At 41.6% G+C, this 17,169-nt stretch overlaps 1 protein-coding gene across 17 annotated transcripts in view, besides 2 other annotated features; it reads left to right on the forward strand.

Moving 5' to 3' along the window:
• ANO4 (anoctamin 4) overlaps positions 1–17,169 on the forward strand; it is a 411,381-nt gene that overhangs the window by 259,515 nt on the left and 134,697 nt on the right. For 15 of the 17 annotated variants that reach the window (XM_011537912.3, XM_011537911.3, XM_047428302.1 and 12 more), the window contains one exon: positions 10,764–10,895. The exons of the other annotated variants lie outside the window; for them this stretch is intronic. In XM_011537912.3, coding sequence (XP_011536214.2) covers positions 10,764–10,895 — 132 coding nt within the window. The remainder of the gene's footprint in view (positions 1–10,763; positions 10,896–17,169) is intronic. 17 annotated transcript variants of the gene reach the window in all.
• Positions 9,992–10,517: an enhancer, noted in NCBI's record as "NANOG-H3K4me1 hESC enhancer chr12:101380545-101381070 (GRCh37/hg19 assembly coordinates)". NCBI's record gives its function as "activates a minimal SCP1, AML or CMV promoter by ChIP-STARR-seq in naive H9 embryonic stem cells {active_cell/tissue: H9 hESC(naive)}" and the evidence as "EXISTENCE:reporter gene assay evidence [ECO:0000049][PMID:30033119]".
• Positions 11,570–12,093: an enhancer, noted in NCBI's record as "H3K27ac hESC enhancer chr12:101382123-101382646 (GRCh37/hg19 assembly coordinates)". NCBI's record gives its function as "activates a minimal SCP1, AML or CMV promoter by ChIP-STARR-seq in naive H9 embryonic stem cells {active_cell/tissue: H9 hESC(naive)}" and the evidence as "EXISTENCE:reporter gene assay evidence [ECO:0000049][PMID:30033119]".

Consider the following 17,169-nt stretch of genomic DNA (forward strand, 5'->3'; position numbering starts at 1 on the left):
AGAAAACCTGAAGGAAACACAGCAAGGTGAAGAGAGGTTTCTCCCAACTTTGAGGGCTAAGTGGAAATATCAAGTTTGTACATGATACTGTTTCAGTATTCTAGATTCTAAAAAGAATGTAGGGTTGGGAGAAGTCTTATTCTTGTTTGGAATTGCCAAGTCAGCAAAGTCAGTATGTGTGGAACAGAGCACATTGGGGTCATAAAACCTATGTTGGCACTGGATGACTTTGGGCAGGTTACTTCACTTCTCTGAGCCTAAGTTTTTCACATTTATAAAATGATATTAACTTCTCCCCTGTATGGTTTATGTGAGGTTTAGTGCCTAGTATGTAGCTGATGTGCACAAATAGTATCTATTAATACTTATTACATGTAATAATTAATACATGTAATAATTAATAATTACATGTAATAATTATGTCTTTGCAGAAGGGTATCCTTCTATTCTTTCTGTCGTGCTTCTGAATTTGTTATCCATCTGTAAGTCTCTCCTTTCTTCTATCCTCTAGCAACTAGTCCACTAACTGTTCTGAGTTTATCTGCCAAGTAGTCATTTTCTCCATTTATATTCTCTATACAGGCATTGGCTCTACTTCCCACACAGTCACCTAATTTAAAACCTAAGGGTCCAGGTGTGGTGGCACACACCTGTAGTCCCAGATACTTGGGAGTCTGAGGCAGTGGGATCACTTGAGTCAAGGTGTTCAAGCCTAGCTTGGGCAACATAGTGAGGCCCCATCTCTAAAAATGTAAATAAAAAAAACCTAAGGGTCATTTTGGATGTTTTGCTTGCTCATCTAGTCAGTCTCTCAAATTCTGCGGGTGCAGATGAATATTTCTAAAAGTCTATATATTACTCTTCATTCCCACTGCCATTGACTTAGGCTGAGCTCCCATCACCTCTTGCCTAAACATCAGTTTATCTTCCTGCCTCCTTTCTGACCCCTTCCAAACTCTCTTCTATTCATCTCCTGAGTAGCAAATCTGATTATTGTCACTTGGTGGCTACCATAGAGTGATCACAATAAGGTTAAAAGCATTAGCTTAATTACAGCCCTTTATAAACTGTCCTCGCCCATCGCTTCCCTCCCACCACTCTTTGCTCCATCCATATTGAGCTCATCGTTTCCAAACATATGTTATGCTCACGTGGGTTTATGTGCTTTTGCGTATAGTGGTCCTTCTGGAAGATCCTTTCCTTTATTGTTCACCAAGGTGAGGTCTACTCAGTCCTCAAAACTCAGTCCACATTTTTGCCTTTTGCCCAGGTCAAATGATCTCTTTTCTGCTTTTCCATTAGAATCCTATGGCCCCATCACCCTGTGCTGTAATCTATGATGTAGGTGTCTAGCTCTCTACCTGGGTGGTATTTGAAGGCAAGGATGACTCATTCAATTCTATATTTCCAGCACCAAGCACATAGGAGATGGAGTGAATGAACAAATGAATCTCCACATGCGTGTATGAGGATTGGAGTAGGGAGAAAGGAAATCACGAAGAAAAGAAGCATAGAAAAACCAGGTCTGCCTAAAGTTTCAGACACAGCCTTGGGGTGAAAACATTTGCTCAAACAGTGGGGGTGGGATGGACAATAAGGGCTTAAAAGAAAACAGTGATAAAAGGAACTATAGAATCTCAAGGTTTTATGGGATATTAAATGCCATCAAGTCCAACCATTCATCAGATACTTAAACTTCTGCTTTCTGGTCAGCCAGTCTATGTTTGAACATCTCTGGAGATAGTAAACTCCCTGGCCCATCTGTGGGCAGCTGTGACTGTTACAAAGTTCTTCTTTAAAATAAGCTATAATCTCTATCTCTTTAGTTTTCACTCTTTGATTGGAGTTCTGCCCCCTGGATGGATAAAAAAATAATCTAGAGCAAAAAGGCAAAGCATGTGAGAAATATTCTGAAATATAGGCAAAAGGGCTTAGCACTTAGCAGCTATTTGGAAATTCAGAGTTGAGGAGAATGAGGTTCTGACACCTAAGGGCTAGGGAAAATATTGTTGGAGGTAAAAGAAGACTGGAAATCGAGAGGAGATACAGGTGTGGTGAGGAAGTTGACTTTTTAAAATTGATTCTGTATTATAACTCAACAGTAGATTTCTTAGGTGTTGGTGTCTTAAAGGCCTTTGGAACTGATGGCAAAGCAGCTGAAGAGAGTGGTAATGCTAGAGAATCCAGTGTGGGAGTCAGCATGACCTTAGCGAGGGGAGTGTATGGAATATCCCAGGAGGAGATGTAAAGGGTGAAGAGAAGAGCGCCTGTGGCAGTTCCTTTGAAAATCTGCATTAATGGGATGGGGGAGACCTGAGGAGAATGAAAAAGAACAATTAGAGAAGTAGAAGGAGAATGAAGAGAGGGTGGTGTCAAAGGCACCAAGAATGAGATTCCACAAGGAGGGCTGTGCTTCAGCTTCTGATGATCAATCAGAGATGAGAATCAATTTTGGATATTTAGAAGTTTCAGTAATCTCTGTGACAGCAGTCTCCATGGAGTGATGGTTCTCAAACATGTGTCAGGATCATCTGGAGGGCTTTTAAAAACACGGATCACTGGGCGCATCCCCAGTGTGTCTGATTTGGTAGGTCTGAGGTGGGGCTCGATAATTTGCACTTCCATCAAGATCCCAAGTGATACCTGTGCTGATGTTACTGATCCTGGACCACATGTTGAGAACCATCACTATAGAGTGGAGGATAATGGAAACCAAATTACAGCCAGTGGTGGAAGGATGAGGGCTGGATGAATCAGAGGCAATGAGGGTTCACTGCTACTTTGATAAGTTTCATGGTAGAGGAAGGAGAAAGAGGGGACAGGATTTAAAACAGGAGCCAAGAGGAGGAAGGCAGAGGAGACTATGACCTTGTGACCCATCACATGTTCTCCATGTGTGCAGAGGAGAGGCTTTGAGTGAATAAGAGCTTGAGAAATAAACTCTTCTTTCTTTTATTTATTTTTTTTTTTGAGATGGAGTCTCACTGTGTTGCCCAGGCTGGAGTGCAGAGGCACGATCTCGGCTCACTGCAAGCTCCGCCTCCCGGGTTCACGCCATTCTCCTGCCTCAGCCTCCCGAGTAGCTGGGACTACAGGCGCCCACCACCACGCCCAGCTGACTTTTTTTTTTTTTTTTTTGTATTTTTAGTAGAGGCAGGGTTTCACTGTGTTACCCAGGATGGTCTCGATCTCTTGACCTCGTGATCCTCCCACCTTGGCCTCCCAAAGTGCTGGGATTACAGGCGTGAGCCACCACGCCCGGCCGAGAAATCCTTCTTTCTAAAGCTGAAGGAATGGCTTACAAAACACTAGTCTTTGGGCTGGAAACATTGGTGCTACTTCTAGCGCACACATCACAACTACAGAAGAATTTAGGCATTGGAAGGTACTGGAAGACTCTGGGCCAAGCTAAAGGAAAAAGAAATCCCAACGAAGGTAGTTGATTCAGAATGGCCTCTCAAAATAGGCTTCATTGCATACCACATAGAATTAAGTCTTTGATATCACTGGGATGTGTGACTTTCTGAAGCCCAGTGTATGGTGTACATTTAAAATCCACGTTGTCAGAAAATGTTGCATCTACCTTAACTCTTCATTTCACATCAGAACAGACTGATTTAGATGATGGAGAGTGTCTTTTTCTTTGTAGCCAGCTCTGATATTCTAAATTGAAGGCCACATATACAACTTGCCATCTAGTAGTACATCAATAATGCAACACTGACCTCCAATATCCTAAAATTCCCGTCGTATGAAATCTTGATATTTAAGTTAGCTTGGAGTTTCATTTATATAAGTGATATTGAATTTTATTAATCCATGAAAGCATCTCTGAAACAAACCTATTCCCTAAGAATAAATGAATTAATATCTCTAAGGTTTCTGAGCAGGCAGAGAAATAAAGCACTTCTTCATAATATCTTTATTTTAAAAAATCACTTGACTCTCATAAAGCATACTCATGTAGTTCAGACATGGATTTTTGGAGTTAATGCTCTTTTTATCCATGTACTTGGTCTATTAAATGCTGCTTTCTTTCTTATCTTTGGACAGGCTTATAGCCATTATAAATTGCCTATCCAATAAAAAGGAGGAATTTATCATCTTTTGGCTGCCCTTTTTTTTTGCCTTCATAAAATATTGCAAATATAGTCTGTGGAAGATATGATTACAAAATAACAAATCTGATTATTATGGGTGGCTTGTAGGTGGAGTCTCATTACTACTCCTTCCTTCCACCCCCCATATGCATTCTGCCTGACTTGATCCTGGGTGAGGCTTGACAGTGTGAATGCTGGACTGTATTGCATTATACATTCAATGCAGTCACAACTTATCAGATGAGCATACAGGCAAAAGGACAAAATGGCTTGTGTATTTTCATCCTCGTTTTAAAAAACTAATACATGTAAATGTTCCAAAGCCTTTGGAGTCTTCTATAAGGTATTTAGGCTATGCTCCAAATAGTACCCCTGTGACCTAAAAGAATAACATTAGCTTTCTAAGATCTCTAAATTCTATCCAGGCAGAGGCTTGTAAATCTGGAGACTTGGCTCTAAGAAAATGAAAAACAAATTCATGCCTCTGCTGTCTATTATCATTCCAAGAGGGTGTCATTTACTGTAATGTAGAGCTGTGTGCTACTGAAAGAAAGAAAAGGAGGGAAGGAAGGAAGGAAGGAAGGAAGAAAGGAAGGGAGGGAGGGAGGAAGGAAGGGAAAAGAAAAGAAAAGAGAAAAGAAAAGAAAAGAAAGCTCATCTGTAGGTTCCCTCTAGGCATATCATCGCTGATAATGTAATCTGTTAGAAACATGATGCTATTATTATAATATTCTTTACTGGGGAAAAGTAGGTGTCTTCAAAGTAGGCCTGCTTCATTTAATTCAGTCTGATTAGGTTATCATTAGTGTACAGTCCCTCCTGGGTTGTTAGTGGCTCAAGGGAAATGACCTTTCTTCTACTTCCTCAGGCTATGCCCACAGCATGCAGGTTGGCATTCTGTACATTGTAGGCAGTTTATAAAGGTCTCCTGACAGGTTAGCATGTTGGGAGCAAGATCCTTTGCACATATGTGGCCTTTTCCTTAATCATCATCTCTCCTAAGTTGGGTAAGATTATCTCCCCTTTAGAGCTGAGGGAACTGAGGGTCAAAGAGATCAAATAGAACCTTCCCAAGACCAAACTTGGGAAGCCATCGCAGAGCTGGCAAGTTTGTACCCATTTGCTTATACTGTATTGTCAGCTCTTCCCAGGTACCCGGAATCTCACCTATCATGAATCAGCATGAAGGAAACCTGAGCTTACCATCAGAACAACTTTCTGTAAAAATAACTCACATTGTAGTCCAGATATTAACTTGACAAGTTAGGGCCAGAAATGCCCAAGTGTCTGATCCATTTTCCCTTTATTGATTTGCCTGTGTAGTGTGTAAGAGGGCTTTTGCTCAGTAAATAGCAAAAATGGAACAAAGTGACAACATACCCAACCAAAATCAATGCTAAATCATTAAGCCAATGTTTTCTCTTTTCTATTCCCTATTGGTGGAGGCTTCATTAAGTAAAGTCTATACTAAAGTCCACTCCTATACTGAAGAGACAAATGGGGTGCTTTCTGGTTAGTTGGTTTCCAGACTTTAACATATCTAAGTAAATTTCAGGGTTAACTATTTAGGGATGTTTATTAGGTGGGAACACAGACATCAATCTACTAGGGAGATTCACAGATTTTGAACTTTTATTGGGAAAAGAGCAATCTATGTAGAAGTTCATCATTATTGTCACCATAATTTTCTTCGTCCTAGAAACTATCACTCAATCGAGCCCTTTGTGCATCCAAGGCATTGTGTAAGCACTTGATATCCATGATCATGTTTAATCCTTACCATTGCCTTGTTCTATGGATTCTGTTGGCTCATAGAGGTTTAATTACTTGCCCAGCAAGGTCTATAAAACTGGAATGTGAATCATCAGCTTCCAGCTGACTCCAAAGTCCATCATTGTATACTAAAGGTTATCTAACATTGTATACTAAAGGTTATCATTAATTCAAGTTTGAATTAATCACATAAGTGACATAATCAAGATATTATCACCCAAATCACCAACAACCTGTAGTATCTAAAGAATATCTGGCTGATCATCATTTTAGAGATGAGAGCACTAAGGTTAGGTGAGGATAAAGGGCTTGTCCCAGGCCACACTGATGTATGACCACAGAATCAAGAGTCCAACTTGAATCTTATGCTTTCCAGCCTAGTGGCTTTTGCATTATGTGCTTCTGTCTTGCATGATTGAAGGGGGCCCTAAGTGAAGTCTGAGTGTGGCAAAGTTTGGAGACAGGAATGTGTTTGTGGAAGAGCAGACTAGGGGAGCACTCACTCATTATCCTGCCACAGAGAGATAGACTCTTGTTCCCAGAGCCACCTAACTGGGAGGTGAGAACAGCATGTGGAATGGCAGCCTTAACAGTGGGAGCCTGGCTAGCTGTTGCCAGGTCTTGAGGAGAGGATCAGACCGAGAGTGTTTTAAGAGGTGTATTCATTTCCTATTGCTGTCCTAACGCATTGCGACGAATTTAACAGCATAAGACTACACAAATGTATTAGCTCACAATTCTGTAAGTCAGAGGTCCAGGAAGAGGAGGCTCAACTGGTTTGTCTGTTCAGGGTTTCCCAAGGCTGCAATCAAGGTGTTGGTCACCCTGGGCTTTTATCTGGAGACTCTGGGGAAAATCTGCTTCTGGGTTCATTTAGGTTGCTGGCACAATTCAGTTCATGTAATCATAGGACTGAGATCTCCATTTCTTTATTGGCTGAAAGTCTTCCTCAGCTTCTAGAGGCTGCCTGCATTCCTTGCCTCCTAGCTCTTTTCATCTTCAAAGCCAGCAATGGTGGGTCAAGTGCTTCTCAAACTTTGAATCTCTCTGATTCTCCTTCTGCCACATCCCTCCTGCTAGAGAAAGTTCTGCTTTCAAAGGTCTCATGTGGTTAACTTGAGCCCATCTGAGTAATTCAGGATGCTCCCCCTATCTTAAGGTCTGTAACCTTCCTTACATCTCCAAAGTCCCTTTTGCCATGTAACATAACATATTCACAGGTTCTGGTGTGTACATCTTTGTGGGGGCAACTCTGGTAACCAGAGGAAGACACAAACTGCTGACCATGTTTGAGTGTTTGGTTTAGTCGTAGTGAAGTGCACACAGCATGCACAGCCGTGTGTAATGGAACCTGGACAACATGCCTTGTCCACCTGCTTCTGCTCAGGCTCCTCAGTGAAGGCCAGTTCACACCCTCCAGCCCCCATGCCCAACCAGTGTCTCGGGGATTTTATTTATTTATTTATGACACGGAGTCTTACTCTATCTCCCAGGCTGAAGTACAATGGTGCGATCTCGGCTCACTGCAACCTCTACCTCCCAGGTTCAAGTGATTTTCCTGCCTCAACCTCCTAAGTAGCTGGGATTACAGGTGCACACCACCATGCCTGGCTAATATTTGTATTTTTAGTAGAGATGGGGTTTCACTATGTTGGCCAGGCTGGTCTCACGCCTGTAATCCCAGCACTTTGGGAGGCCAAGGCAGGCAGATCACGGGGATTTTATTTTTAAGATGTTCTTTTGAATGTGTTTCTTCCACCACAGTTTTTTAAAAAGCCCAGTTCCTTTGCTTTCCATCACTTTTATGTTAGTCCTGTGTGGTCCTTAAGAAATTATTAATAATGCTTGCTATCTGTCTGGCAGCTTCTCCAAAGCATTTCATACTCACCATGTTTTATGAGCCCACTAACCACTCTGTAAGGTCAGTAAGATGATAATGATGATAATGATGATTATTGTTACTATTACCTCTATTTTATAACCTTGGAAAAGAAGGCTCTGAAGGGTAAATAACTTGTGGAAGGTCATACAGCTGAGGCGCAAGAGAGCCACCCCAGTTACAAATCTCAGCTTCCTTTTACCATGCCAAGCAGCATCCTCTTGCCTCCTTCTTGCTTCCTCTTTTTCACATATTTCAATTAATTAATCATTTTAATTACCCTGTTCTACTCTCTTTTCATCATCTCCACATTTCAATTAAATTGTGGTGCCACAGGCTGGCTGCTGAAAGCTGCCATTTCACTCCTATAGAGTAGTTATGCCTGATTTTTTTTTTTTACAGCTTTATTTGTTTTTATCCATGCTGAGCACTGTACCCAGCTGGATTCAATTCATAGTCATCGCACACAGAGCCCAGATTCTGTGGGAATGTGAATTTTACAAAGTGTGATCTGATTAGTCCTGCAGACTGGAGATGTGTGGGAGGTAAAAGCTCTATAATAAAAAACCTTTGGGCCAATGGCCTCTTTCTTGAATGAGTTTTAAGGCAATCAAATGAAATAAAGCCAAGAGCCATGGGGAAGGCCACCATCTTAGCTGAGGAAGTCTAATTTATGTGTCCATATAAGGACTAAATCATTGAGCATAGACTAGTGATAGATGCTGGTGAAACACAATTAACTTTGAATTAAAAAGCAAAAAACAGAAATGTTAAGCGGCAAGCTGGTTGCTCAATATTTTTATTTTTGGAAAAAAGAGAAAAACAGTAATAATAGCCAGCATTTCCTGTATACCAGACAGTTCTAAAGACTTTATATATGTATTAATAAGTTCATCATCACAACTCTACGAATTGGGTATCATTATCATGCCCATTTTATAGATAAGGAAACTGAGGCTCAGCAAAGTTAAATCACTTGCCCAAGGTTTTGCTGTTAATATTAACAGAGCCAGGATTTGAATCTAGGCATTCCAGCCCCATAGTTCATGTTGTCAACCACTGTGTCATGCTGCTTCTCTAAAGCCCATCATCTCACTATATTTTAAGTATATTTCTTTTGGGGCGGAGGGTTCTCTTGGGGAGGAGGGTCCTAGAGCCACTGTGAGATTCTTTTCAGTTTGACCCTTTGGGAGTTCTGAAGAAGGACAGCCACCACCAAGCAGAGTTGGGATCATGGTGAGGCTGGAACAATGCTGAGAATAAAGGAGATAGTGAAAGAGAAGTTTACCATTATTTTTTAGTTTGGAATTGATTGGTTATATAAATAATATTATCTTCAGCTGAGAGTTTCACTGTGATGGTTAATTTTATATGTTCAACCTGGCTGGGCTAAAGGATGCCCAGATAGCTGGTAAAACATTATTTTGGGGTGCATCTGTGATAATGTTTCCAGAAGAGATTAGCATTCAAATCAGTAGACTTAGTAAAGAAGCTGATCCTCCCCAGTGCAGGTGGGTGCCATCCAACCCATTGAGTGGAACTAGAAGATGGAGGAATAGTGAATTTGCTGCTGCTTGAGCTGGGACATCTCTCTTCTTCTGCCCTTAGACATCAGTGCTCCTGGTTCTCTGGCCTTCAGACTTGGATCAGGATTTGCACGGTTAGCTCATAAGATTCTGGAGAGCAAGAAGTCCCGCAATCTGCAGTTTTTAAGAAGGAGGCCTAGGAAACCTGATGGTGTAAGTCCCATTTCCAGTGTAAAGGCCTGAGAACTAGGAAGGCCAATGTCCAAGGGCAGGAGAAGATGGATGTTCCATCTCAAGCAGACAGCAAATTCACCCTGCCTCCACTTTTTTGTCCTATTCAGGTCCTCAATGGATTAGATGGTGCCCACCTGTGTTGGTGAGGACCAACTTCTTTACTAAGTCTACAAACTCAAACACTGATCTCTTCAGGAAACAACCCCACAGACACACCTCAAAATAATGTTTACCAGCTATCTGGACATCCCTTAACTTAGCCAAGTTGACACAGTAAATTAGCCATAACATTCACTGAAAAGAATACATTGCCATGTAAATATATTGTTTTAATTAGGAAAAAAATAAAGCATGACCAAATTCCACGTGTTTTCAGTTAATAAATTTAGAAGGTATTTTTTCCAGTAGTATAGACACTTGAGGTAGTGCTATCATTTTAAAGTTTGGTGTGGTTTTTGCGCCTTCTGGTGTTTTTCTGTGAACAGTGATTGGGAACTGTTCACTTGGAAGCCAGATGTTTTCATCAGCAGAAGTCAGTGGAACCGAGGGACCAGGGAGATAGCCAGAGAGAAAACTGTAGCTGAAAACCACTTTTAGGATACTGTTGTTTTCATTGACTTGGCTTCATTAGAGTGACACATGTGTGTCACGATGCCCTAGCACCATGAGAACCATGGAGCCTGCTTAAAAAGAGATCAATGAAAGCCAAAAATCCGGCTGCCTGCTGAGAGGCTGCTCAGGGGAGGTGGGAGAGGCAGGAAGCAAATCATGGCATGGAGCTCTCTGCACAACTCCCAGGATGTGCTGCCAGCACCCCCTCCCGAAAGTTAATTACAGCTAGAGCTCTTCTCTGACCTCAGATGTTTTCCAAACACAAAATGAATTTTTTAGAACCTACAGAATGTAAGTTAAGATCTCTGCTGCTTGCTTAAGGGACTGTTGGAATCCTTTTCAGAGCTTTCCAGCCTTGTTAGGACTGCTTGGTCATTTATTATTGGCATGTGGGTGGACATCTAACTCACAGCTGCTATTTCACAAACAGTAATAATATTGAGGCCACTTGGTGAAATCAAAACAACACTAGAGTTCTGGCTGTCTTCTTTCCATCTATAAAACAAGGATATCCTGAGTGCAGTGAGAGGGCCTGGAATGTGTGGTATGATAGTTGTGGCTCTGCGGAGACCTTCCTCCTGTGTTTCAGGGCATTGCTGACATGCTGTACCCTTTGGTCTTGCCTTCCATGTACCACAGGATCGATAAACAAATAAGCAGGTTTCGGAGATGGTTACCTAAGAAGCCAATGAGGCTGGACAAGGAGACACTGCCAGACCTGGAGGAGAATGACTGCTACACTGCCCCTTTCAGCCAGCAAAGGATCCATCAGTGAGTGTTCCATGTTAAAGCCCCATCTCACTAAGGATGTGCAGCTGTGGTAGAGCCTCACCCTGCACGCCTTTGATTCCTGGGCATGAGGAAGGAACAGCATAGTGCCCTTCTCCCCTAAAAGTCTTGTGAGTGTTCATATCCCTTTTATTTCAGTCAGGGGAAGATAACTGCTGTAACCAACAATCCCTGCATCTCAGTGGCTTAAGATGATACAATGCTTGCTCATGTGTGTGTTGGGTAAATGATCTTCTCCACAGAAAGGCAGTGACCCAGGCTCTGTCATTCTCATTGCTCTGCCAACTCCCTGTGCACGGAGCCCCCTGCAGGCTCATCTGCATCTAGCCAGCAGACAGGAGGAGTGGCCTACACCTTTTCCCATTGAAAAGAGGGTTTTTTGTTTTCCGGTTTTTGTTTTATCTTGGTTCACTTCTCAGTTCCCCTTTCTTCAGCAGTTCACTGGGTTGCCTTAGGAAAAGCCACATCACCTGGCAGCCCACTTGCTGAGTCATCTGTCAGATTGTCTCAGAATGGTTATTTGTCACTTTTGACATGGGGGGAGGAAAAACAAGTTGGCTAAGTCACTGAGCCTGTGAGGAACTGCAAAAATGAAAGAGAATTTACTCTGAAGCTTCTGAGATGACAAGAAATGATGGCTGGATGCAGGGCAGGGCAGGCAGGAGGACAGAAAAGCCTGCCGTGTGCTGGAGACTGTAAACAATAGGAGAAACACAGCCTCTCAGTGGAGGCAGAGATCAGGTCAGCCCCACCTCCCTTGCAACAAGATCAGGAATTCCAGGCCCTCTTGCTCCAGCAGTAGTGACAGCCTCCATAAAAATGACTTACCTGGAGGGAAGAAAAGGGTGATGGATTTAAAAAAAAAAAAAAAAAGGTTGCTGATTTTGTGAGAAAGTAAACCAGGCTGAGTGCTGTGGCTCACATCTGTAATACCTGCACTTTGGGAGGCAGAGGCAGGCAGATCACGAGGTCAAGAGTTTGAGACCAGCCTGACCAACATGGTGAAACCCCGTCTCTACTAAAAACACAAAAATTAGCTGGGCATGGTGGTGCACACCTGTAATCCCAGCTACTCAGGAGGCTGAGGCAGGAGAATCACTTGAACCTGGGAGGCGGAGGTTGCAGTGAGCCAAGATTGTGCCATTGCACTCCAGCCTGGGTGACAGAGTGAGACTCTGTCTCAGAAAAAAAAAAAAAAAAGAAAGAAAAACAAAAAACGAAGGTAAGCCAAATGGCAGTTTTCAAGAAGTTGCAGGGAGTGCCAGGTGGGGACATATTTCAGCAACAGAAAAACGGTTAAAGTCTGTGGAGCTCTGCAGGGCAAAGGGGAAAAGAAAAATCAAAGAATAGATGTTCTGAATCAAAAATGTGTAACAGTAAGAGCAGTCTAATGCAGGGGAAGCAACTCTGTACGCCTCTGAAATAGCCGAGCTGATCCCCACAGGTCAGATTAAAGCCAACCCAGCTGCAGTATGTGAACATTTGAAAGGGTCATTGAAGCAAACATGGAATTCACAGACTGGCCTCAAAATCTTAGTTCGATCCTCAAGAGAAAGTGGGAACTGGAAGGGACATAATGTTAATTCAGAGATCAGGGTGTTTTCTTAAGAGAAAAAGACAGAAAAAAGCTGATACGTTCCCATTCTTAATTTAAACCCCTACCATGTCTCTCTTGTTCATCTTGGAAGTTTTTTAGACAATGAGTTGTTTCCCTAATTCTTCCGGAATGATGTCTGGTTTACAGGCAGGTTTTCCCTGTGCTTCTACCTGTTTATGATAGAGTTCCTAGCACAGTGCAGAAGGGTATCACCAATTTTGGATGATGGATGGATGGATACATTGATAGGTTGCTGGGTGGGTGGGTGGATGGATGGATGGATGGATGGATGGATGGATGGATGGATACATGGATAGGTCACTGGATGGATGGATAGATGGATGGATGGATGGATGGATGGATGGATGGATGGATGGATGGATACATGGATAAGTCACTGGATGGATGAGTGGATACATGGATACATCACCAGATGGATGGATGGGTGGATAGATGGATGGATATATGGATGGATGGATGGATGGATGGATGGATGGATGGATGGATGGATGGATAGATGGATGGATAGTGTATATGGATAGGTCACTGAATGGATGGTTGGGTATACACATGGATAGGTCACCAGATGGATGGATGGATGGATGGGTGGATGGATGGATGGATGGATGGATAGTGTACCTGGATAGGTCACTGAATGAATGGATGGGTATATACATGGATAGGTCACCAGATGGATGGATGGATGGATGGATGGATGGATGGATGGATGGATGGATGGACAGATGGATGAATAGATACATGGATGGGTATAGGAGTGGTTGTGTAGGTGTATAAATGAATAGAGGAATAAATGAAGTAAGTGGTATACACTCTGGGATTTTATTTCACTTCAAAGGGAGGATATATGAGATATAGGTAAATGGAAGAAAAAAATGAATGAATATATGGATAGATGGATGGATAAATTAGTGAAGTATGTGATGTGTGCTCTGGTATTTTGTTTCACTTCAAAGGGTTATAGGTGTATGGAAGAGGAGGGTTTCCCACCTCCTCTTTTCATGCTGTTTATATTCTACAGTGTTCTTGCTTTAGAACAATACTTCTCAGCGTGATTCTTAAAGTCAGAAGCCCTTGGATACCCAGTAGAATTTCTAGGGACTAGAACTGAGAATCATATTTTTGGAAGTATTTAAAAATATATAATAAATGAGGGATGATTAGATTAGGGATATTTAGCCAACTCTCTCACATATTTGAGAAGCCCTTTTGACATGCTTTGGTATTAATTTGTCAAATAATTGATTTATTCAATAGTCACTAATTTAGTGTTCACTTCTTGCCAGGCACTGTCTGGGTACAGAGGGTATAAAGATAAACAATACTCAGTTTGGACCCTGGTGTAGTAAAGATGCAGACTATTTTAAATAATTGTAAACAGTATGATGGGTGTGACTTAAGAGGGGGAATACTCAATTCTCCAGATTTGGAGGGAGGTTGGTAAGTGATGAGGATTGATCACAAGAGAATGCTTGATATGGGTCTTGAAGGATAAGACTTGCCCAAGTGGATAAGGGGCGAAAGGCATCCCAAGAGGAGACAGTAACGTGTGTATAAATGAACGAAGGCGTGAAATAGGATGGAGTGTTTTGAGGAACCACAAGTAGCCTTCTCTGAGTAAGAGCATAGGTTTGTGAGGAGGACCTAGTGTTGTTTGAAAAAAGAGAGTGATCAATGGAAGATGAGATATCAAGACAGGAGAACCAAGGAAGAAAAAGCAGAGGACAGCTGGAATGAATCAAACCGAAGAACCAGACCTCAGTGGGACCAAGAGAATAGAGGCAATTTTATCGTGTAAATAAGAGGTGAAAAATTAAATAAGTGTCTTGAATATTATGAGTGGTGAGGATTTATTTCTCTTTGAAAATTGCCATGTCACATAGATAGCATCCCTCGGGTGTATAAAAGTATGACTTGAAGAATGCTGGCTGTCAAATTGGAAACAATTGTTGGGTACAATCAGAAAAGAATTCCCTAAGGATGTTTTGAGAGTGACATTAATGGATTTAAATTAATCAGAAGTAGCTGGTTAATAAGCTCTGGGAATTATAGCATGATATTCCTGGCTTTCCAAATATAGTCCAAAATCCCATGTGACTTCTTAGTTTTCCAGAATGTTTCATATTGTGTTTTTCTTGGAATACAAGCTAATAATAGAAATGTAAGTGTGTTCGTTAGGGGGTGAGGTGGGAGGAGGGCATGAAAATAGTAAAAAAAAAAAAAAAAAAAAAGAGAAAAACATTGAAAGTTTAATAAGTGTTTCATCAGAGACATTTCCCACTGAAAAACCTTTCGAGATTTTCCAACCTCCACCCCCAATTCTGGTTGAGATGTACTCATCTATGTTTTAGTAATATTTTTCTTTTCCTTAACCAATATTACCACCCATTTTAATTACTTTCTCCAAGTCTAGAGACTCCTTGAAAGACTATGCCTTTCTCACTCATTTTTGAATCCCATAGTAAGTGCTTAATAATGATTTTTTAAATGAAAAAATAAATGAATAGATAGAAACAAAAGTAGGAGAATCATGTAAGTAAAGAATAAAGCTGATGTGAAGTCAGCTGACTGCACACTCATCTCAAACCAAATCCAAGATACCTTCTTTTCAAATGTAGACTACCTCCATTGTTCCCTGTCTCAGTAAACAGCACTAATATTTGTCCAGTTGCTGAAACTGGAGTCTGGAAGCTATTCTAGACACCTCTCTCATCTCTGCTTCTTACAAGTTATACATCTCCACGGATTGATGATTTTACATCCTAAATATCTCTATACTTCAGACTTTGTCACTGTATTTCACTTGAAATTCAGAAATAATATAACAGGTCTCCCTGGTTTTACTCTTGTCACCACCAATCCATTCTCTCAGGTGCATACTGCATGGTGTCTTCAAAATGTGCATCTAATCATGTCACTTCATTCTCTTTAAAAACTTTAGACACCAAAATTATTACTATGACTTACAAGCTCTTAAATGCCTACCTGCACTGCCATCCCCTCTCCAGCCTCATCTGCCTTTCTTGCCTCCCACTCTTCATTTGTTGTGATCCAGACACATGCAGCCTCTCCTCTCTCAGCTCTTTGGATATACTCTGCCCCAGGACATTTGCATATGTTGTTTCCTCTCCTGGAATTCTCTTCCGATTCTTTCCTTCTTCATGTAGTATGCTGTTATTCATCCTCCAGAACTCAGCTCCAAAGACTCCTGCTATGGAAGCCTCCCCTGACCCTCTCCTTCCCCACTAATCCTTCCAAAGATTGGGTCTCTGTTCTATACTGTTGTAGTTAATGTTTCCTAGATAACATTTTTTTAACAATTGAAATGCTATAATTATTTGAGTAGCATATGATTAATGCCTGTCTCTCTAGGTAAATGGTATACTCTGTGGAGCCATAGGCCATATCTGTTTTTGCCCATGATTGTATCTCCAATACCTAACACAATACCTAGCATAAAATTGGCACACAATGCTGGTCTTCTAAATGAAGGAGTGAGGATTGAAGTCAGAAAGACAGCACAGAATAATCTAATTGTAAACCTTTATTCTTTAACTGCACTGTACAAAAATATTAAAGTTGAGAATCTATTAAAAAACAAATACCTGCCAGCCACAGTGTCTCACCCCTGTAATCCCAGCACTTTGGGAGGCTGAGGTGGGAGGATCACTTGAGCTCAGGAATTCAAGACCAGCCTAGGCAACAGAGTGACACCCATCTTTACAAAAATTTAAAACTAGCAGGGCGTGGTGGTGCATGCCTGTAGTCCCAGCTACTTGGGAGGTTGAGCTGGGAGGATCATTTGAGCCCAGGAGGTTGAGGCTGCAGTGAGTTATGATTGTGCCACCATACTCCAGCCTGGGCAACAGAATGAGACCCTATCTCTCAAAGCAAACAAACAAGCAAACAAACAGCCTAGCATTCCATTTGAAAATATATCTGTATTTAAGGAGGAAGAAAGCAAACCTGTGGGTGTACAAGTCAACATACAAATGCTACTTGGTCACTTTATATGAGCTTACCAAGGTGGGCCTACAGGTAGAAAAATTCTTATTGTATGCCAGACACTATTTAAGAACTTTAATACAATAGTTTGAGGGCTGAGGTATTATTATTATCACCAATTTACGGATGAGGAAAGTGAGGAACAAAATGGTCAAAGAACCTGCTATAGGTCGTACACCTAGGCGAGGCTACCTGTCTAAACAACTCCCAAATATCAGCAGTAGAACAGCATAGAAGTTTACTTGTTCACAGCACTATCTAGTGTGGGTCACTCTGGGGGAAGGAGGCATATGTCTCTGATTCATGTAGTCATTCAGGTACCTAGGCTACTGTTATCTTGTTATTCTGCCATCCCCTAAATCCCTTACAGACAAGGAAAAAGAGAGATGAGTGATTTTTTAGGAAATTTTTATGGGCCAGGCCTAAGAGTGGTATATAGCACTTTCACACACATTTCGTAGTCTAGAGCTTAGTCATGTAGTAATGCTGGGATAACTAGTCTACCTGTGTGCCCAGAAGAAAAAAAGAAGCAGATTTGCCGAATAAATAATCGCAGTCTGTCTGAGTGATAGAGCAGGAATTCAGGTTCGAACAGGAAGGCTCTAGGTCTCACCCTTATAAGCATTACGCTCTATT

This window comes from Homo sapiens, chromosome 12, assembly GCF_000001405.40.
Source record: "Homo sapiens chromosome 12, GRCh38.p14 Primary Assembly".
Taxonomy (NCBI): Eukaryota; Metazoa; Chordata; class Mammalia; order Primates; family Hominidae; genus Homo; species Homo sapiens.